The sequence below is a fragment of the Homo sapiens genome, chromosome 6 (genome assembly GCF_000001405.40).
Source record: "Homo sapiens chromosome 6, GRCh38.p14 Primary Assembly".
Lineage (NCBI taxonomy): Eukaryota > Metazoa > Chordata > Mammalia > Primates > Hominidae > Homo > Homo sapiens.
In genome coordinates, this window is record NC_000006.12 from 78,240,083 (window position 1) to 78,264,381 (window position 24,299).

At 36.8% G+C, this 24,299-nt stretch overlaps 1 long non-coding RNA gene across 1 annotated transcript in view, besides 1 other annotated feature; it reads right to left on the minus strand.

Moving 5' to 3' along the window:
- Positions 1-24,299, minus strand: part of LOC105377865 (uncharacterized) — a 374,941-nt gene that overhangs the window by 314,202 nt on the left and 36,440 nt on the right. The window lies entirely within an intron of this gene.
- Positions 12,697-12,866: an enhancer, noted in NCBI's record as "experimental_95876 CRE fragment used in MPRA reporter constructs". NCBI's record gives its function as "activates a minimal promoter by MPRAs in K562 erythroleukemia cells, with activity observed for the non-introgressed 6:78962581 variant allele {active_cell/tissue: K562}" and the evidence as "EXISTENCE:reporter gene assay evidence [ECO:0000049][PMID:34662402]".

A 24,299-nucleotide genomic window follows, 5' to 3' on the forward strand; every position in this document is an offset into this window, starting at 1 on the left:
GACAGCAGGGCTAAAAGAACACTGTAATACCCCTAGACATTGCCATGGGGCTGGAGCCCAAAAGCACTCACCCCAGCTCCTGCACCTGCTCACTTGCATGCTCCCCCTCCCATAAGGGGTTTGGGTGCATGGCAGCCAAGTAAACAAGCCACACTTCTGTCACAAGTCCCATGAGGGGATCAGGGAACTCTCCCATTTCAATAATAGATTGGATTGAATCTACTGAATACAGTGAGATAAATAAAGCTATGTTGCAATTGTTTAGGCCAGGCATAGTGATGGCTTTGTCTAGCCTGATGGTGATAGTGCAGGAGAAAAATAGATAATTGTGAAAAACATAGGGAATACTATTGATATGATTTGGTATTCAGTAGCATGACAATAAAAGGCAAAGGGTGTTACAGAATGACAGGTTTCTGGCTTAGCCTACAAGATGGATAGTCATAGTAAATTTGAGAGTCCTGTGAGTTTTCCAAGTGGAAATCATGACAAATAGGGCACATTTACAACGATAATAACACAGACAGCTCCTTGAACTTTAGCTGTAAATATTCTATTTTCAGTCTACTTTGGTTTTTCATTCTGCATTCTGTGAGCTCTGTAAGGATGTACCATAAATAAGACCACGTCTAATTTTTCTTTTTCTTTACAATACCTGACATAGATGGAGCATGTCTGAACTAAGGCAACAGAAGTAGGAATGGTAGATTAGGGAAAGAGGAGAGATTAAAGAGGCAGAGTCAACTGAAGTTAGTAATTGATCATATGCAGACAATTAGGACAAAGGAAGGAGACTAAAGTGATTCCCCAGTTTAAGGCATGGGCATCTTGAAAAATGGTGGGACAGTTGGTTAAAATATAGATTATATGAGCAGAAGCAGTCTTGAAAAATGTACTGAGTGTTGTTTTGATAAGTTGAGTATGTGGTTATGTTCAGGTGAAGGTGAAAAGTAAGAAGTCAGAAGTACTGGCCTGAAGTTTGTAAAGTAAATCCGAGCTACAGATACAGTATTGGAAGCCAGTGTGTATGGTGGTCCACAGGTGTGGATAATATAAATTAAGTCTTGGGTTTAAACCAAAAAGAAGAGTTCTAAATGGAACCTTGAGGAACCATTATTTAAGGTAATAGGTGTGGAAAAGACCGTGAGCTCAGTGAAAAGCATTGAATAAGTTTAGGAATGAGTAACCAGAGATGAAGAAAAAAAAAAAAAGCAGACAGCGGTGCTATGTTTCATTGTTTTTTAATTTTATAATTGGTAATTTCCACTTTTATTCCTTATTTGCTGCTGTGAAATGTCACACAATTATTTAGGATTCTGAAAATAGTGGAATTTTCTACTTCTACTTAATTTTTCTCATATCCTTTTTGAATTATATGCTCATGAATGTTTTTACATTGTAAATAAGTCAGTAAATACACACACATATACATAGATGGGGAAGTGAGAGTGCTTATAAAAGAAACCCAAAAGTTTCTTTCTGATAGGGTATATTTCGAAGAAAGTTTGAGAAGTACTAGTCTATGCCTATTACAATAACCTCCTAAGCCTGCTTGTAAAATTACACCTCCAGCTAAACTATCTTTCACAGTATTACTGGAGAAGACTTTTTGAATGTCTAATCATGATAGTTTTCTGTACAGTTATTTCTGATGAATCACTAAAGTTTAAAACTCAATGTCCTTTTCATTGTAACCCACCCTAAATCCCACAATTAGCTCCAGTTGTATTTTTTGGCGCTCTCTTCCCAGGGGTCGAGTGCTTTCTCTGTTTCTGTTTTCTCTATTTTCTGAACATACCCTGATGCCCTTAAAAATTTGCTGTTCCTTTAGTGTCCTCTACTAAAAATTTCCTAATAAATATAGCCTTCCCACATCCCAATAGGCAGAACTGAGGGTTTTTTCCCACCATACAATTCCCACCATACAAAGGACATTTAACTGTAAACATTCACCACTGTGCCCATGCACATCCCATGTGTGTATTTGTGTTTATGTCTGTCTCTCTTTCTAACTGTAATCCCAGAGAAGGAAGGAACTATTTTCTTTTTTTTAAATTTCCCATACATCTTAATGGCAATTTACCTACTTGGGTTTTTAAAAAAAGGATTTTTGAGTTATTTTGAATTGAATCAAAAGTATGATCAATAACTTATTCTTAGTAACAAAGAATAAGAAACATATCTTGTTAGTTACTTGTTTCTAAAATAATAACCTGTATGCATTAGCCGTGGATTTATATTGCTATTTACAGCTCTCCCAATGCTTCTAGCTTTAGATATGAGATCACATCTGAAAAGATCTCATGGACACTTGGGAACATTTTCCTGGAAAATCTTTGCAATAACTTTATTATTTGAAAACAGTAATATTTTTTAAAGTGTCAATTTTTATTTTATTTTAAGCCAGATGTAAAGCCCTCAGGGAAATAACTGAGTCATATTTTGTCACTTGTGAGGTTCAAAGGACATCTCTGGAAATTGACATACAAATATATCATTATTATCATAGTTGCCTCTAAATACTGTGTTACATTTAAATGTAAATGAGTTCTTATGTTATTTACAACTAAAATTTCACTAAATTTTCCATTAGCCTAGTTTTGTCTTTTTTAGAGTTTCACACCACAAGTATGAGAACTCCCTCAATGAAGAACCATAGTAAGGGAGTAAAGAGGTGTGACTCTCCATCAGTTTTATTGACAATATATTCCCTAAGATTAGAGGTCTTCAGAGTTGTTCAGGCAGCAAATAAAATACTAGTTAAACAAATGTTATTGATACCATCCTTACAAAACAATGAAAAGAATTATTCGTTTGTCTGAAGAATTAGATGAATAGGTTCCATTGAAATTTTATATGTTCAGAGGAATATATGTGCCTATTTTCATAGTAATAAATAGCACAATTTCCCCAAGAAAATGTGGGATTTTAATAAATTGTGCTTCTGGTTTACTTCTCAGTGGGGCTGTGGTGGCTTCAGGTTCATGACAAATCCAATTATTTGGTTGTTGAACTACCCCTTCTGGAAAGCAAAAATAAAAAATAAAAATCCATGAGAGAAAAGAAAATAATATGAAATAATATATTGAATGCCTCAGGCTTGCTGCTAGAAAATGTGCGTGTATTTTCTTATTAAGTGCTCACAAAGCTATCTGTTGTCAAAATGCGTAACTTAGGAAGGGGCTTCAGGATGACTGAATAGAGAGGCGTCTTGTATACATCCTACACAAAAGAACTCATCCTACACAAAGAACACAACAGGGATTGACAGTGAGCCTGGAGTGGCTCTTCAATATAAGCAAAGGGTAAGTGAGACACACCCACCAGTCCACATTTCCATTCTGGATCCTAAAATCCTAGCCATGGGACAACCCCTCGACCCTCAAATGCCTTCAGACTCACATAGAGAGATGCCTGGGGACCACACAATGGCATTGCTACAGAGAGGGGTCTCACACTGTGTTCCACACACCTCTGAGTCCTAGGAAGCTATATACCCAATTTTGACAGCTCAGCCCCCATGAGATTACAGTCTTCTCTGGGGCCCAAAAGCTCCGGCATTTCCACATCCCTGGAGCCTCTTTGACATCCCTTGCCCACAGCCACTATCTTGGATGGCTGCTGCTGCCAGGGTTATAGAATGAGTCATTGGCAGTGATCCAGCAATTTCCAGCAGCAAAACTGCTGCTCATTTACATCATCTGAGGCCTTTCCCTATGAAAGCGAATTTTAAAAATTGGAAGAAGCAACTGTTACACCTGATGCACACATGTCAACATAAGGACATAAGAAACATGAAGAGTAAGAAAATGTGACACCTTAAAAGGAACACAATACTTCTTTGACAACAAATTCTAATCAGAAAGAAATTTATAAAATCCCTGAAAAAATCATTCAAAATAAGGATAATTAAGAAGCTCAATGAGATAAAAGAGAAAACAGACAATATAGAACAAATCAGAAAAAAATAATTCAGGAAATGAATTAGAAATTTACCAAAGATACAGATCTTAAAAAAAAAAAAAAAAAAAGAAAGAAACAAGCGCAAATTCTGGAACTGAAAAATTCATTGAATGAAATACAAAATACAATTTAAAGCTTCAACAATAGACTAGGTCATGCAGAAGAAAAAAACAGAACTTAAAGACAGACCTTTTGAAATAACTCAGACAAAAATAAATTGTAAAAAGTGAACAAAGCCTATGTGACATACGGAATACAATAAAGCAACAAAATATTCAAATTTTTGGTATCCCAGAAGATAAAGCTATAAATTAAAGTGGCAGAGACCATATAATGGAATAACAGCTGAAAACTTCTCAAGTCTAGCAAGATTTTAGACATCCAGATGTAGGCAGCTCAGAAATTGCCAAATAGATACAGTTTTAAAATACCTTCTCAATGGCATATGCCAGTCAAACTTTCAAAATTCAAAGACAAAAAGAGAAAAACAGCAAGAGAAAAGTCTGTAGTCATTTATAAGGGAAGCCCCATCAGACTATCAGTGAATTCTTCAGCAGAAATTCAGGTAATTCAGAAAAAATGAGATGATACATTCAAAGTGCTGAAAGAAAAAAAATGACTACAAACAAAGGATATTATACTCAACAAATCTATCCTTCAAAAGGCAAAATAAAGTCTTTCTCAGGCAAGCAAAAACTAAGGGAATTCATGTTTTGAATTGTAATATACTCTTGATGAATTCATCCCTTTAGCATTATATAGTCTTTTTTTCTAAATTGTCTTTTTTTCTAAACACTATATTGTCTTTTTTTCTAAAATAAATAAACACACTATATTGTCTTTTTTTCTAAAATTTGTTGTAGGACTAGATTGGTCTTACAAGAAATGCTGAAGGGAGTCCTGCATCTGAAAACAAAATGATAAAATTTACCATGATAGAAACACGAAAATATAAAATCCGCTGGTAAAGCAAACACAAATAAGGAAAAGAAAGGACCCAAAAATTATCACTACAAAAAACCAACAAACCATGATGAGAAGCAGTAAGAAAAAATGGAACATGAGGGACTTTTTTGTTTGTTTTCTTCTATTTGCTAAGGTTTTCCTCTAACCGTATTCTGCCACCAATGCCATTTTCCAAATACCACCACAATCCTTATTAATCAGACACACTCTCCTTTGAATTTAATTTAACAATTTATGCTTTTTGTACATTCGCTTGGAGCCTTATACTTCATCTTAGGCAAGTAATTTCCTACAAGTCAGTCCAGTGTTCTCAATCCTGTGTCATATTAGAGAGTTCTTACATATAAAAATATTTCATAAAAAAATTAGATTTGACATCAGTGAAAAGTGGATGAAAAATAGTTTATTCTGTTTTATGGGTGCATATGTTGCTATCCACATCTAGGTGTGCATGAAATATTTATCTGGTGTTTCCTAGACCATCAGAATCAAGAAAGAGTTTTGAGAGTTGTTTGAGCTCCAATAATAGCAACAGAATTTGTAGATTCTTATCCAATGCTCCAAACTAATGGTTTTACTGCAAGAAGCCAGCCTTTATTTAATCTTTGGAGCACAGTGATAATAACACTGGTTCTGGAGGCAGGTTCTGTTATGTATAGCTCTATACTTTTGGAAAGGGCATTTAAGACAGTTTTCCTCATTAAAAAAAGCATCAGTGATAATAATATTATTTATCTTTGATGCCTTTTTTTGGGATGGAGTCTCATTCTATTGCCCAGACTGACTGGAGTGCAGTGGCACAATCTTGGCTCACTGCAGCCTCTGCCTCCCGGGTTCAAGTGATTCTCCTGCCTCAACCACCTGAGTAGCTGGGACTACAGGCATGTGCCACCTCGCCTGGCTAATTTTTGTATTTTTAGTAGGGACAGGATTTCACCATGTTGTCCAGGCTGGTCTCGAACTCCTGACCTCAGGTGATCCGCCCACCTCAGCTTCCCAAAGTGCTGACATTACAGGCGTGAGCCACCATGCCCAGCTTCTTTGATGCTTTTAAATGCATGTATAAAGTGCTTTGCATGTGTTATGATGTTAACCATTATGTCTAGTGGGTTTCTTTAACTCTTGTTTTTGCATTGCAGGTAAACATCTGTACTCTCTGTCTGTCTGTCTCTCTCTCTCTCTCTCTCTCTCTCTGCCTCCCTCTGTAGAGACAGAGAGTACATAAGTATATATAGACTATATAGACAGATTATATATATAGAGAGAGTGTACATACAGAGAATACATACATATATACATATATATGTATATATGTATAAAGTGCTTTGCATGTATTATAATGTTAACCATTATTTCCAGTGGATTTCTTTAACTCTTCTTTTTGCACTACAGGTAAATGTCTGTACTCTCTGACTCTGTCTCTCTGTCTCTTTCTCTCTCTGTAAAGACAGAGAGTACATAAATATATGACTCTATATAGAGAGTATATATATATATATATATAGAGAGAGAGAGAGAGAGGAACTACAGAGAATACATACATATATAGAGATGATTAGATAATACTCTATATTAGATAATAGACTATTAGATATGACTAATAAGATTAAAACCTCTAATATTAGTGCAAATTTAGTACAAATGTCCATAATTTCTTCTAGTAATCAATTACTTGGCTTTTTTGTCTCTCAGTAGCTTTATACTTATATAAATAATACAAATTTTTACTATTTATTTTTCTACACATTAATAGATTCATTTTTATATGTACTCCTTTATAATTCACATTATTGTCTAATTTTTGAATGAATGTCATTGTATCTTATCTGACAGGCATACAAATGTAAATTTTGAGGGTATATGATAATATTTATTTTATGAATACTGGTGATGATGATGGGCATGATAGTGACAATTATGATGCAACGGTGATGATGATGTAAAAAGTAATGATGATAGGGATAGAAGAAATTGGAGTTGCAATGCTAGTTAATATTAATTTTTTCATATGTTGAGTTCCAGAAAATAAAATCAAGTGCTTTTATAAATTAGCTTAATCTTCTCAGAAATTCCATGCAGTAACTAAGATTTATTTTTTAAAATTTAGCTTTAGAGATATTAAGAAATATGCCCAAAATAACTTATAGCAGGCAGAGCTTTGATTCTAATTGAGACTGCCTGACTCCAGAGCCAAGTAGGCTAATGACAGCATGTTTAGTTTTCATTTTTTTTTTCAAATGTCAAGAAACATGTTTAATTAAATTGAGTCAATAAAGCAGAATTCCCTGTAGAATTCTCTCATGCCAAATTGGGCTCAGGCCATTGGTTTGAACATGTTTTAAAATCACCTAGAATAATATCGAGGTATATTTTTGTGAAACATCTTGTTTTGTTATAAAGAACCTCTTCTTTAAATGCATGAAATAATGACTATACATTATTGTTAGACTTTTTCTTCCATTTAATTTACTATAATATCCCATTACCTCAGCTTTCACTTTTCTTGCTGAACATACATACAGCATACTTTGGTTAATAATAAGCATAATTTTAAAATAGAATTTCAGAATACTTGTTGTAAAAGGTGACAGGGACTGAAAGAAGAACAAGCATCAACAGGAATAAAATTTAAAACATATTTTTTGGAAATGAAATTTTAGGAATGATTGATAAGTGTTTCTTTAATTTCTCAAAGCCCTAGTTTCCTCATTTGTAAAATGATTATAATAATATATGTCTCATTTAATAATTGTGAGGGCAAAAGTTACATAATTGTTGTTAAGGGCTGAATTGTCTTGCCCTAAACTTCATATGTTGAAGTGGTAACCCCTAGTACCTGAGAATGTGTCTGACATTCTGGACAATTAACTTTAAAGAGTTAGTTAAGTTAACATTAAGCTATTTGTATGGTTCTAAAACAATCGATTTGTCCTTATTTTTGAAAGAGAATTTTGATATAAAAGGGGACAACAGAGACACACGGGAGCAGTGAGATAAGCGTGCGAAGAGTAACCAAGTGAGCAGCCATCTGCAAGCCAAAGAGAAAGGCCTGGAGCAGAGCATCCCATTTTTGTCCTGCTGACATCCTGATCTTGGACTTCCAGACTCCAGAACTGTGAGAAAATAAATGTCTGCGGTTTAAGCTACAAATCTATGATATTTTGTTATGTTAGCCTTATCATATGAATATGATAGTATGTAAGTATATACTATAGACACCACGTGTGTCTAATTATGTTCTTCTGTCAGCCATTAGTGTGACAGGTTAAGTCCACCCAATACTTTGTGGAGTTGCTTTTGGAAATTGTTACTACAGCTTCCTTCAGACCATCACAAATTTCCAGGATCCTCCAGAAATAGAATGCTGTAACGTTGTGCTTAATGTTACTTCTAGTTTGCCCAAGAATTTTTCTCAGCATTCCTGCTCCACCAGTTTTCAGCAGGACCTCTGTGCCCAAATCACAGAAGGTTCTCTCTGCAATCTTGCTCCTCCTCATTGGCAGTTCACTGTTATATTTTATATGTGAAAAAATCATGATAGAAACCGTTGGTAGTTCCCGGTTCTCCCGGTCTGGACTTATTCTAAATCAGACCCTGTTCACCAGGCCCTGTGTACCTGGCTCTTCTCCCTAATTCAACCAAACTCTTTATTGCGTGTGTGGAGGGTCTCAGAAGAGAGAACATTTTCTATCCTTCCCTCAGTCATAGCAGTATTGGTTGGTATCAGTACAGCATTCTGGGTCCAAGCTTCTCTCTCAGGGGCAGATAGATTTTCCTGCTCTCTAGGTGGCAATATACCTTTGCATGGGACCAGGATCAGAAGGATTTGTTGGTCTTCCCACAAAAGTAGACTACACTGAGCATACAGCTCGTGGGATTTTCTTTCCCTCTCTTTTTTCCTTCCCCAGCAACAGATGACTTGCTTCGACCCCTTCCCCTCTGAACAATGGATCTTTGCCTGCCTTCTATTCCCAAGTTGCTTGAGGCTTTTAATTCATATAATAAAAGAGCTCAAGACATAGGCAAGGTTTTGTGCCCACACTCTTTTTCCTTCCCTGCCTCTAATCTTCCTCATGAGTATATAGTGGAGGCTTATGAAAAGTACATGGCAAATGAATGCACACTTTCACTGGGTCTGGAGTTCTCAAAGGTTCTAAATCGTCATGCTAGCCCACAATCAACTTCTAATAAAGTACTGAAATGTAATTGTTTCCTCTTTCCTGCTTGTACAGTGTTTTTGTCCCATGTTTTGCCAAAGGTGAAACATTCGTCTGTTCTCTCTCTCCTCAGAATGGCCTGCCATTCTGGAATTTAGTCCACCTGATTGCCTTGAGATCTGAGCTCTGATATGTCAAAAAATGTGATAATTTTGAAGATTATCTGGCCTTTTCTTCTTGCCAATTAAGGTGGGAGTGATATTCTCTTGTAGGACATCATAAATAGAAGCACAACTCTCTACTGACAATCCTTTGAGAAGACTCCAAATATGAATACCTGAATATGCTGAGACTGTAGAATGCAAGAGTATAAAAAAGCAAAAATGTACTTTTTATCAGTAAATCCAATAAATATATTTCATAAGAATGATATCTTCCACTTACAATGTATGTATATATTATCTAAGTATCCCTAGTGATTATATGTAGAGGTCATTTAAAAGTTAAGAATGCTCAAAGAGGTTTTGGAACTAATTATATTTCATCTAGAATTATGTATTTCACAGTTATACTTCAAAATAAAATCATCATGGTAGAAATTGAGTGATTTTGCATTATGAGGAGACATCAGACAATCAAGACTTGTTTGTTTGTTTTCGTTTTTGAGGTGGAGTCTCAGTCTTTTTTTATTGTTGTTGTTGTTGTTGTTGCTGTTGTTTGAGATGGAGCTCAGGCTGGAGTGCAGTGGCACGATTTTGGCTTACTGCAGCACCTGCCTCCTAGGTTCCAGCCGTTCTTCTGCCTCAGCCTCCGATTAGCTGCGATTATAGGCATGCACCACCATGCCCAGCTAATTTTTGTATTTTTAGTAGAGATGGGGTTTCACCATGTTGGCCAGACTGGTCTTGAACTCCTGACCTCAGGTGATCCACCCACCTTGGCCTCCCAAAGTGCTGGGATTACAGGTGTGAGCCACCATGCCCAGCCAAGACTTGTCTTTTTGAAGTAAGAATAATTTACCTAACCCCCAGAGTATCTCCAATACATTCTGAAATTTATCAGATAGCCAGCCACAAGAGAGATACAACATTATATATCCAAAATTAAAAATAAAAAGTAGGATAAACTTCATTATTAGACAATTAGAAGTATATGCCCAGAACATACATTTGTAAAACTACGCTATAAAAGTAATAGAATTCAACAGGCTGAATGTTAGATCTATAAACCTAGGGTATCCATTCACTAGAGAATGAAACAATAAGAATAGTAATCAATGCCTCAAGAGAAAGCTCAATATTTCTAACAGAAGAAATCCTGCATATATAACAAAGGGTTACTAGTGGCTTGAGAAACTCCAGGAAGCCTATATAGAGAATGTTTTATCAACCTCCCCACTGCGAATGTTCCTGTGGAAGAGGAAGCACAGGAAAGTACTGCATCTTTTAAAATCTTGAAGCAGGGACTGAATATTTACTCTCAGGGGGTGGTACACTTGCAATAAGTATTTTGTTATATTACCAAAAGAAAACAATCTGAGGTACAAATGGTAAGAAAATGTTAGATTATTCAGAAAGCTCTAAATTCTGGAATTTTTTGTTAAAGCTTCTGAATATCTGCACATCTACTAATATAATTTTAGTAATATGTGTGTAATTACAAACCTGCAAATTTGTTGATATTACCATGCCAATAAATGTTTCCAACTCAGCATTTCTTAAAATATGGATAGGAGAATAGAAAATTTATATTCCTCCAACTTCTTTACCACTTTATGAATTTTAGTAAGATAGAAAGCAGCCTACCCTGAACACATTTTAGGAAAACCCAGCTTTTCTTCTGTATTCTGACAAGGGAAAAACCTACGAAAGTAAAAAAGGCTACCGTCTCTCTTGCTCGAGGATACCACTTACATTTAGTTCAATCACAAGAACAGATAATAAAGGGTAAATTGCAATAGGCAATTTGCCACTTTCCTATGATTAACAATCATTACATTGCTCATTGCTGTGCCACTGTGTCTGTGTATATAATTGTGTAAATGTTTTTTTCTGCTTATCCATGGAATATATCTAGACAATTTGAAATCTACTACCTGCTTGTTCACTACTCCTATTGCAGCTAATCTCTTGAATGTTAAATTTAACCTGTCTATTTAAAGTCATGATACTTGATAATAAGTACTACATTTATGAAGCACTTATTACATGCTAGTCATTTGGTGTACATTATCCACTTTAATTATTACCACAGCTTTGAGATGCATGAAATATTATGATCTTTATTTTATAGATTAGTAAAATGAGGTTTACAGTGTTTGTGTCATGTCCAATTTCACCTAGCTAAGTAATAGATAGAAGAAAAATCTGATCTGATATGTACCTGATTACTATGTATCTTTTCCTACCTCTTGCACTGTACCGTCTCATCCCTCCAGCAAGAATGACTTCAAAAGTTTACTTTTGTCTATTTAACTTGGATACCAATAACTATTTCTTGACTTTGAACTACATAGGAATTTTTTTTTTTTAGAGGAATTTTGCTCTTTTGCTCATGCTGGAGTGCAGTGGCACGATCTGGGGTCACTGCAACCTCTGCCTTCCAGTTTCAAGTGATTCTCCTGCCTCACCTCTGAGTAGCTGGGACTACAGGCGCCCACCGACATGCCCAGCTAATTTTTGTATTTTTAGTAGAGACAGGGTTTCACCATGTTGGCTGGGCTGGTTTCGAACTCCTGACCTTGTGATCCACCTGCCTCGGCCTCCCAAAGTGCCGGGATTACAGGCATGAGCCACCACGCCTGGCTGCATAGGACTCTTAATAGTCTCGGACAGTGGCTCATTTCTCTAACTATTGCAAAATTGAGTTTTACAATCCATCACTCTATATTTCTCAACCAAACATCTTCTCTTTAGTACCATCTTGTAGTCCTCCACCATCAGCTGCTAGTTATTCCATATAGCTGAGTCATTTAAAAAAACACAGACGAGAAACTGAAACCACACAGTCATATTGACACATGATGGGCCTTTTTGGATAAATACAATATGGCCTCAAGTCCAGATTGATTCCAAGCATTAATTAAGTGCTTATGACAAGAATGTGTTTGAAAAGAATGGATTTTATTTGGTACATGTAGTTTTAATAACTACACTTCTATATTTCAAGCCCTAGGCACTATAGCTGCATTCCTCTGAGAATTTTCCTCATCAGAAACATTGTGGAATTAGGTACTATATGACATCTGGTGTAAAATCAAAGTATTTCTGAGAAGGTAAAATGTGATATTATTCAACTCAACTTGAAACATTTTAAAAATACTCCTATAGCCCTGGAAACTTTGTTCACTAGGCCATTGAATGCATGCTATTTTGACGTAATGTCACTGAAGAGACAGGAGTTTGATTCTACACTGAAACGTCAACTCAAATTTCAATCATTGTTATAAATTTGTGCAATTTATTTGCATTTTTTTTCTAAATTTCAGGAAGTGCTAAAAGCAAATGGGGCAAAATTATGTAGTAAATCCACAAGTTTTGTGCTCTCCTAACTGCATTGTGCATTGTAGCAATAAAAAATATTTAAAGAGAAAACCAAAAGAACAAACAATACCCTAGAAAAAGATAAACTTTTTAAAAAGCTGAAAATTGAATATAAAATACAAAGAAGCTAAGACAATGAAGTTAAAGATTGCCGAATGTCAGGTTTGGGAGAACACTGTAGCAGACTGAGGTTCAGTTTCAGAGGATTAACACGGACCAAAAGTGTTCCTATGCCTGGAGTTTAATTTAGATTCATTGCTTAAAGAAAGAAACTAAGAACAAATGCTGCTGATGGCTACCTGTGGCAAGGACTCATAGGATCGTGTGGGCTGAAGAGATGGGAAAATATAAACACAGCCTCACAGAAGAAATAAACTAAGTTTGAATCTGTAACTGGCTGGATCCACAATATCCACAAAGCAGAAAAGCCAAAATGAGAGACCTGATTCCAGATGCTGATTCTACTGGAACATGTTCAAACAAGCCTCTATATAGAAGATCACATGGAAGGACGGAGGGAGATAAGAGAAAAAAGAAAGGAAACAGAGAGAGAGAAAGAGAGGGATCCTTTTCAATCAAATGAGTCTGCAAACACAAATCCTGAATTGCCTGAAGAAAGATGCACACAAACAAAAATCAACAATTAGAACATTAATTCATTCCATATGAAATTGATTATAAATGTTTCATAAACATATTAAATATATTTAAGTTGCTTTAAAGGATAAATTAAGATTTGGCATTGATAAACAATTTTTAAAAAGAAATAAAAAAAACAGAGAAAATGTGTATAAAATAGTACAGGTGCATATGAAAAGAACCTACTAGAAATCCTGGGGAAAATATAGTCATTATAATAAAAACTCTGTTAGAATAATGGCCCCCAATGAATCACAACCTTCTTATTTTACATTCTTTTATAGTATGAGTTTCCCATTTCTTCACCTCTTTAATTCAGCATGGCTTTGAGATTTGCATAGACTGACAGAATATGACAAGAATGATATTATGTGACTTTTTATGCTAGGCCTTAAGAGACCTTGAACTTCCGCCTTTTCTGTCTTGGAATGAATCTTTTGTCTCGTGAATAAGCAACTCTGGGCTCCTATGAGATGAGAGGCCACATAGAAGAGAAGTAAAAAGCTACAGACAAGAGCCAACACCAACCACCAGACATATAATTGAGGTTACCCTGAAATAAACACCCCAGTTAAGGTTCAGATAACTGAAGCCATATATGAGTAATCCTAGGCAAGATCAGCATAAGAACTACTTAGATAAGCTCAACACAAGTTAAATAAATATATACTTGTTTTCAGACACTAAATTTGGAATGATTTGTTACACAGAAATTAATAATTAATACAAACATTGGCAACTAGAAACAAGGTGCTGCCATAACAAAATCCTAAAAGCTAGGCATTGGCTTTGGGACCATGTAGTAGGTGGTCTATAGAAATTGCTATTTATGTCTGAAAATGTGGGGATCAAAACTATTGGCAAAACTTAAGACTTAAATAGATTAAAAAAATGTATGCAATGAATGTGTAGATATAGCCAAGGTGATATCCCGACAGAACAATGAAATTGACAGTTGGCTTTTTGTATCTGTCTATAATAAATAGGAGAGGAGGAGATGAACCAAAGGGAGTATGATTCATTTGGAAAGCAGAATTTAGAGGAAATATAAAGGTTCAAGATGTGCTGGGTTAGAAAATAAAATCATTTCATATTTCTAGACTTTCTAGCTGTGGTCTTAGAATAAAAATCAAACCAAGTGTGTGGTGATAAAACCTTTAGTTAAGCACACAGAGAAATTTATGATAGTGATCAGTAAATCCTTGCAATTAGGCAAAGAACTTCTATGAGTTTCAAGGGTATTATCTCACAAACACCTTACAAATGGCCCAATGTAAGTAGAGGTTTATTTGTTAAATAGTTATGGATGTGGCTTTTGAACACGGAGGGAATCTCAATTAGATTCACAAAAAATTCAAAATATTTAAGGTAGTTATAATGTCTCATCCATAGGAAATAGAGACAGTTTATAATGAAAAGAAGACTCTGGGACCCCAAATCTCTGTGGTCAGGAAGCAGACTGGGAATCCCCTTTAGTTGCAAACACAGTCCATTTATTATAGAAAATGAAACAAATCTTAGAGCGTGGAGACCAGTTACCTGGAAGGCAAAGTCAAGAACTAAGGAGATCAATAGTTAGGAAACTATTCAGCCGAGGAATAATTGGGCCCTTACTAGGATGTGTTTTCTTACTATGGAGAAGAAGACTCTTACAACGTATACATGTCTATATTTCAGAATTTGTAAGAACCAGTGACTTCTATATGCCTAATTCCATTTCTTCTCTCTTTTTTTTTAATTGGAAGTGTCTATTGCAATTATTCTTTCCCTGTCTTATCAGCACATGTTGGGTATATTGGGTGTTGATAATTTATTATTTGTTATTTACAGTTTTATTGAGGTATACATAAAAATAAAAATTGTGTATATTTATGGTGTATAGCATAATGTTTTGATATATACACTGTGAAATGATTATCAAAATCAAGCTAATTAATATATGCATCAGCTGACATAGTTATGCTTTGTTTCATTGTGTTTTTTTTTTTCTGGTGAAAACACTTAAGATCAATTCTCTTAGCAAATTTAAGTATAAATACAGAATTGTTAACTATGGTCTCCATGCTGTACATTAGAGCTCTAGAACTCATTCATCCCACATAACCGAACTTTTGTACCCTCTGACTGATATTTTATTTCCTTCCATTCTACCCTTGTCAACAGGAGTTCTGGAGGGAACAAATATTCAGACCATAGCAAAAGGCATAGAATATAAGAATGTAATTGTGCACAGAAATTAATAAAACATATTTATTGCTTGATAGTCTACGTCCTATATGCTTGATAGTCTACATCCTACTCAGGAATGCCTGTAGCTAGTGACCAATTATTATTGCAATACAAAACTCAGCTCCTTTGCTTCAAGTCACGATACACTTAGAAGTATAATTTATGCTCCAGAGTTTCTCAAATGATTAAGCATTCTTGGATGCCACCAAAATTGTATCTTTTCTGGGCTTCTTACCTACCCTTCCTTTTCCTGCTTCCCTCACTCTTACTTGTTTCTTCTGGTAGTACTTGCTCAGTAAATAACTTGCACCTAAATCTTTGACTCATCATCTACATCTGTAAGAACCTGTCCTAAAATAAACATATTAGTTTAAGAAATAACTGGAATTTTTACTGACGCCTAGAATGTGGAAACTTGGAAAGAGTATTACTCCTACATTAATAACAGTAAAATGTCAGTTTAAATTTTAAAAATTATAACTTTTCTTGAATCTGTCAGAGAACTAAGGTCTTGGGGAAACCAATTAGCTTGGAATTCAAGGAAAGTCAGGTGTCTCCAAGCAGATGAGATAGACACACTGAAACACATATGGCAGAGAACAGGAGGAAAATACATCACTGTCTTGTAAGTGGTTAAAAAGAATTTATCAATTTTTTTTTTTCGAGACAGAGTCTCGCTCTGTCGCCCAGGCTGGAGTGCAGTGGCGCGATCTCGGCTCACTGCAAACTCCGCCTCCCGGGTTCACGCCATTCTCCTGCCTCAGCCTCCGGAGTAGCTAGGACTACAGGCGCCCGCCACCAGGCCCGGCTAATTTTTTGTATTTTTAGTAGAGACGGGGTTTCACCATATTAGCCAGGATGGTCTCGATCTCCTGACCTCGTGATCCGCCCGCCTCGGCCTCCCAGAATGCTGGGATTACAGGCGGGAGCCACCGTGCCCGGCAGAATTTATCAATTTTTTTTATCTGAAAAAGCTCAAGTATGGGCTAGCATAAGAGTATAGAACCGCTGGGAGGCATGGATATCAGGGGTCTTCATAATACTTGCAGGCTATTCTCCACAGACTTCTAATGGGAGCATGATTGGATACAGAAATCCTCTAACAGTGGTGCAGACTTGGATAAGGAGAGCATTCATCGCTACACAAACAAGCATAAATCCCCATGTAAGACCTTCTCCTCTATGGAACAAAAGCCTTAAATTGCTGGGGTAAGGGCAGCACAAACCATCACCCCCAGGGCACAGATGAAGATGAAGCTAGGGAAGGTACAAGAAAAAAACAAAATATCTATCCCTGAGGTAGGGGTAGGAAACTGTCCTGGACCAAGTTCATTATATGTCTCCTACCACTAGGGGAGGGGCAGGGAAGTCTCCCATACAAGACCTAGTAAAGATTCACAGCAAAATTTGGCTTCTATCGGCAGATTTACTAAGAAAATATCAACATTAAGACCAAGCTTGCCTAAGTTTTGAAATGGTACAAAAATAAGAAAAAAATCCTTTTGCCCCCTAACACCAAGATCACGAACACCAAGTAATAAGCACTAACAGTCTACTACTGGAGAGAATAAGAACATGACAAGATCCGTTGTCAGGTGCAAGAGCAAAAGGGAAGGCCAAATGTTGAGGGTAGATAAGGGACATTAAGAAAAACACTCTGGTAATCTGATTTTCACCCTACGGTATTGCTAAAAGAATTTTAAACTGGTTGTACACTGAAGGTAACCATAGTAACAGCAAAATCCCAAATCAGCTAAACTCATGACTAGGTTGACTCCAGTCTCCACATAAACACACTGGCAGAAGAGATGTGCATCTTTCTTTCATTTTTCTTTATCTTTTTCTTTTTCTTTTTTCTTTTTCTTTTTCTTTTTTTTTTTTGAGACAGGGTCTTGTTCTATTGCCTAGGCTGGAGTGCAGTAGCATGATCTCAGCTCACTGCAGCCTCAACCTCCTGGGCTCAAACAATCTTCTCACTTTAGCCTCCCAAGAAGCTGGGACTACAGGTGTATACCAACATGCCTGGCTAATTTTTGTATTTTTTGTAGAGACGAGATTTTGCCATGTTGCCCAGTCTGGTGTTGAACTCCTGGGCTCAAGGGATCCACCTGCTTTGACTTCCCCAAACAGTGGGATTATAGGCGTGAGCCATAGTGCCTGGCTGCGATGTGCATATTTCTATGCAAAAATGCTATTTACTTCAGTCTCGACTGTACTTTTCCTTCATGTCTAGGATTCAGTATTAAAACAGAAAAAAATAAGGAAAAAATAACCCACTTAGAAAAAGCAATCATATCAATTAGAGTCAGAAAAGACCCCGATGTTAAAATTATCAGGGAATAAATTTAAAACTATGACTAACAGTTTAAAAGTTTTAAAGCATAGTTTCCTCATCTTCAAAATAATTTTTTAAAGTGTCAAGTGTCAAATTCTTATGGTTATTGTGCATATTAAATCACATAATGTTAGTGAAGTGCATACTTAACAAAATATCTGACACAGGGTAAGGATTTAGTAAATGACAGTAGTTGTAGTCATTATTACCTGCAATACTTAATAAAATATGGTTGACTGTCCAAATGTGTTTGTGATAAACTTGGTTTGAATAATTCCTATTAATTATGCCTTTCTAGAAACTTTTGCAACAATAAAATAAATGCTGCAAGGGCTGATTGGTTTTATTTCAGATGTTCCTAAGCATATCTTTAAGCCTTACCCTACCCACTCCAAGCTGATTTCCATCACTCCCCACCTCCTTGCTCCTTGCTTCCTTTGCCTTAACTATATTTTTTGTTGTTGTTATTGTTGTTGTTGTTTAATCAGGACTAGGAGATGAAAGGCAGCTGAACTTCGTTTTCCTCTGTGATAGAAACTTTGATATTGGTAACTATTTCAGCTCTCTATTCAAGAACACTGGAAAGTTTCTGGTCACAAAAAAATGTCAGTGACTTCACTGTAGTCTGTACCTTTTTTCTTATTGTAGAACTCAAAATTCTAATTTTCCACTTATTATTTTATTTATCTCTATCATAAAGCCAAATATTCCAATTAACACCACATAGTAATTTAAAGTACTATTGGAATATACTTTAAAATTATTCCTATTTCCCTTGAATTTTGTATTGTTTATGTAAGTAAAATTCAATTATAAGTCCATATTCATATACTAATCAGTGATATCCAGTTGTAATGATAAATGTTGTTTCTAAAACTCTTTTATCATTCAAGGGGCAGAAACTGGATTACAGAATCCATCTCCTTTACCCAACTTTTCAGAGTTTTCAGCTCCCTTTTATTTTTATGTATCTTGAGTTATTTCTTCTGATAGATTCTGTGCCTTGAAATAATCTTCAACTAATAAAATATTTAGAATTTAGGCAATAGAATGTGTCTATCTGTTTCAATCATAGACTCTCCTCTCCTTGTAACCAGACTATATTTATAGTATGAATATTATTGGCCAGCTACCCATAACCAACACAGATTTTTAGTATATCTAATACCATCATGGTTGCTGTAGTTCTTTCAAAATGATGTATCAAAATTAAAGTTAATGACAAGTACAATGTAAAAGTAAGGCTGCAAGGTATCTCTGTATTTAGCTGCCCTGTGTTGGGATATCTACTATTGGAATCTTGACAGCAAATTTTACTGCTCATTGAAGATTATTCCACATGCACTTAAGTTTCTCTAGCTAATTCATTATAGTTCCTCATTAAATTATAATTACTTTTAAAAATAATAATTATTTTAAGAAGGTGAATCCAAGAGCTGTTGATATCATGTGGCTTATTTTCCCCATTTGGTGAATGTATTAGTTCGTTTTCATGCTACTGATAAAGACATACTCAAAGCTGGGAACAAAAAGAAGTTTCATTGGACTTACAGTTCCACATGGCTGGGGAGACCTCAGAGTCATGGTGGGAGGCAAAAGGTACTTCTTACATGGTGTCAGCAAGAGAAAATGAGGAAGAAGCAAAAGCGAAAACCCCTGATGAACCCATCAGATTTCGTGAGACTTATTCACTATCATGAGAATAGTGCAGGAAAGACTGGCCCCCATGATTCAATTACCTCCCCCTAGGTCCCTCCCACAACACATGGGAATTCTGGAAGACACAATTCAGTTGCGATTTGAATGGGAACACAGACAAACCATATCATTCCACCCCAGCCCCTCCAAATCACATGTCCTCACATTTCAAAACCAATCATGCCTTCCCAACAGTCCCCCAAAGTCTTAACTCATTTCAGAATTAACCCAAAAGTCCACAGTCTGAAGTCTAATCTGAGACAAGGCAAGCCCCTTCAACCTATGAGCCTGTAAAATCAAAACAAGCTAGTTACTTCCTACATACAATAGGGGTACAGGTATTGGGCAAATACAGCCATTCCATATGGGAGAAATTGGCCAAAACAAAGGGGTTACAGGGCCCATGCAAGTCCGAAATCCAGTGGGGCAAATTTTAAAGCATCAAAATAATCTCCTTTGACTCTAGGTCTCACATCCAGGTCATGCTGATGCAACAGGTGCATTCCCATAGTCTTGGGCTGCTCTGCTCCTGTGGCTTTTTCAGGATATAGCCTCCCACCCAGCTGCTTTAATGGGCTGGTGTTGAGTGCCTGTGGCTTTTCCAGGTTAACAGTGCAAGCTGTTTGTGGGGTCTGGAGGGTGGTGGCCCTCTTCTCACAGCTCCACTAGTCCAGTAGGGTATCTGTGTGGGAGCTCCAACCCCATATTTCCCTTCCATACTGCCCTAGTAGAGGTTCTCCATGAGTGCTCCACCCCTGCAGCACACTTCTGCCTGTGTGTCCAGGTGTTTCCATACATCTTCTGAAACCTAGGCAGAAGTTCCCAAACCTCAATTCTTGACTTCTGTGCATCCACAGGATCAACACCACGTGGAACATGTCAAGGCTTGGGGCTTCCACCCTCTTAAACCCAAGCTGTACGTTCGTTGGCCCCTTTCAGCCACAGCTGGAGTGGCTGGGACACAAGGCACCAAGTTCCTAGGCTGCACACAGCACAGGGACCTTGGGCCCAGCCCACAAAACCACTTTTTCCTCCTGGGCCTCTGGGCCTGTGATGGAAGGGGCTGCCATGATGGTCTCTGACATGGTCTGGAGACATTTTCCCCATGGTCTTGGGGATTAACATTAGGCTCCTTGCCACTTATGCAAATTTCTGCATCTGGCTTGAATTTCTCCTCAAAAAATGAGTTTTTTTTTTTCTACTGCATCATCATTCTGGAAATTTTCTGAACTTTTATGCTCAGTTTCCCTTTTTTTTTTTTTTGAGATGAAGTCTTGCTCTGTTGCCCAGGCTGCAGTGCAGTGACATGATCTTGGCTCACTGTAACCTCCACCTCCCAGGTTTAAGCGATTCTCCTGCCTCAGCCTCCGAAGTGGCTGGGACTATAGGCACGTGCCACCACACCTAGCTAATTTTTTGTATTTTTAGTAGAGACGGGGTTTCACCATGTTAGCCAGGATGATCTCGATCTTCTAACCTCATGGTCTGCCCGCCTTGGCGTCCCAAATGCTGGGATTACAGGCATGAGCTGCGACTGGCCCCATTTCCATTTTAAAATTGAATGCTTTTAACAGTACCCAAGTAACCTCTTGAATGCTTTGCTGCTTAGAAATTTCTTCCACCAGATACCCTAAATCATCTGTCTCAAGTTCAATGTTCCACAAATCTCTAGAGTAGGGGCAGAATGCTGCCAGTCTCTTTGTTAAAACAGTAAGAGTCACCTTTGCTCCAGTTCCCAACAAGTTCCTCATCTCCATCTGACACCACCTCAATCTGGACCTTATTTTTCATATCTCTATCAGCATTTTTGTCAAAGCCATTCAACAAATCTCTAGGAGGTTCCAAACTTTCCCACATTTTCTTGTCTTCTTCTGAGCCCTCAAAAATGTTCTAACCTCTGCCAGTTACTCAGTTCCAAAGTCGCTTCCCCATTTTCAGGTATCTTTTCAGCAACACCCCACACTACTGGTACTAATTTACTGTATTAGTTCATTTTCATGCTGTTGATAAAGACATACCCGAAACTGGGAACAAAAAGAGGTTTCATTAGACTTACAGTTCCACATGGCTGGGGAGGCCTCAGAATAATGGCAAGAGGCAAAAGGCACTTCTTACATGGCAGCAGCAAGAGAAAATGAGGAAGAAGCAAAAGCAGAAACCCCCATAAACCCATCAGATCTCATGAGACTTATTAACTATCATGAGAATAGCATGGGAAAGACCGACCGTCATGATTCAATTACCTCCCCCTAGGTCCCGCCCACAACATGTGGGAATTCTGGGAGATATAATTAGGTTGAGATTTGAATGGGAACACAGCCAAACCATATCAGTGAGCCCCCACATCAGTGGCAAAGTTAGGATTGCAAGCCCAGGTCATGTGACTCCAGAGTCCATTCTCTTAACTACTCTGCTATGCTGTCTCTTACAATACTTTCTAGGCCGTCTAACTGCCACTAATTGTATGACCTTTGGAAAGACCCTTAAATTATCAGGACCACTGCTTTCACATATGAGAAATGGGGATAATAATAAAAATTATTACAGTGCTGTTTTGAGCATTAAATGAGTTAATGTTTGAAAGCACTTATAAGTGTTTGACACACTATAAGCACTGTAAAGGTGTTGGCTAAAATGAGTTCTTTTAAATATTACCTTACAATTATCTTATTGGTATCAGTTAACGTTTTTATAAGTAGATTAAAAGTTTGTACAATTTATAATTAAATAAAAGAATAATTGTTAGTCCGTGGCTGGAATAAGTTAGGACTTTGACATTAAAACCCCTTATAGTTGTGTAATTACTTGCCTGACAATACTGAGTAAGCATGTGGCTACTCAAATCCTTTATAAAAGAAATTCTCGTAATTTAGTGATATTACTTATGATAGGTAGCATTCACTAGGAATTTAGTATGCTTCACAAGCTATTCCTAATACTAAAGTATTAATTCTAATTACCAGAATAATTCCATGGAATAGGTACTACTATTATCACCATTTTAGAGATAAGAAAAATAAAGCACAGAGAAGTAGCTCCAAATTCATAGAGTAACTGGTAGAGATGAGACGGAAGAATTTATCATGTCCTAAGCACTTCCAATTTAGCCAGTTTTCCACTCTTTTCTTCTCCCAGCATCGTAAAATCTGACTGATAAGTATAAATAAGGAAGAAAAAATAACATTTATTCTCTACAATATAGTCTCCTCACTACCTGATGCTAAATATGAAGGGACAGTTCTAATGAAAGTGATCAACAAGTTCTAGAAGGAACTAAAGCTTAGTTCCTTCCTCAACCTCAGTGAAAAGAACAAGGTTATTAGTGGCGATGTTTTTCCTAGGTGTGGGGGAGCTAAGCATTTTGAACACAGCAAAGATAAGGAAGTCGGTCTGTAATCTGCAAAAAGGTAAGACATTTATTAAAGCATTAATCTTACCTAGACTGGCTTGGATTTTCACAGTGATCTCTTGCTCATCATGCATTTTAACACCCCTTGCCACACAACCACTTCTAAATTCTTCCTCTAAAGGTAAAGAGCTGTATGTTCTGAGAGTAAGGAGGAAATTCCTAAAAAAGTATCTAGAATCTAGAAAATTATTCTCTAGGTTTATGCCTCATACATGATTGCAAACCATAGTGATGATGAGCATGTTTGTAGAACTGACTTTAATGGTCTTCTACAACAATTCAGGCTACATCTGCCCAGAGAGTGTGTGTGGTCCACATGTTCTTTCAAATGGAGAGGACCTAATCATTAAGACATAGCTTTTTTTTTTTTTTCTTAACTTTCAGGAGTCAGATGTGGAGGATATAGAGAGAATTTTGACTTTTAGTCCATGTTGTTTTCCCTGACACATTTTCAATTACATTGACAACTAAAAAACAAGACCTTGGCAAGAACATCAGGGAGAAATGGTGATGAGATGAAAAGATGCTCAGATAGGCAGATTTTGATATATGACTGGTCAACAGACCTTGGGAGGCTCTCTCTACAATGAGAACAGAAGCATCCTTGTGCTAAAGGCTCATCTGCTTACAACGGTTGAGATAAAGAGGAATTTCTCGAGCTAGTGGAAGAAACAGGATGAGAAGTGTGAAAGGAAATTAAATTTTGGGATTCAAAACTCATTTAGCCAAAGGGAAAAGTCAAGCTGTGAACTGGATCATGCAAACCTGCCTCCACCTTTCAGTTCCTAAATAAAATGGCTACAAGATGCAAAGCTACTCACCTTTCCCATATTTTGCCAACAAGGAAATTCCTGATGAGCTGTTAAAACTTCACCATGGCAATGCTAATTGATAGCTTATCTTTATAGGTGCAGTCACTCAGCCTGCCAGACACAAATGCATATCAGATTGTTCCCCTACCCCATTTTATTTGTGTAATGTAAAATGCAGATTTCCCACATTTTTCCTTTGCCCCTTTTAAGTGAAAACTGTGTGCTTCTCAATATCCTGCCCTTTCCCCTTTAAATTTGGAGCCCTCAAAATCATCTTAAGAGAAAGGCATAGACCTGACTCCTGGGCGTGTCCTTAACTTTGGCAAATAAATCTCCAAAAATGATTAAGACTTGTCTTGTCATTTTCTTCGATTCACAGAAGGCAGGATATACAAGTAGAAAGCAGAAGGCAGGATGTACAAGACATCACTCTAAAACCTTTGAATCAACAAATGAATAGCAGAAAAGCAGATGCCTTGACATTGTCCTTTTAAATACACGGACTCAACAAATATCATTGCCAGCTCCTAATATGTTAGGCCTTGCTGA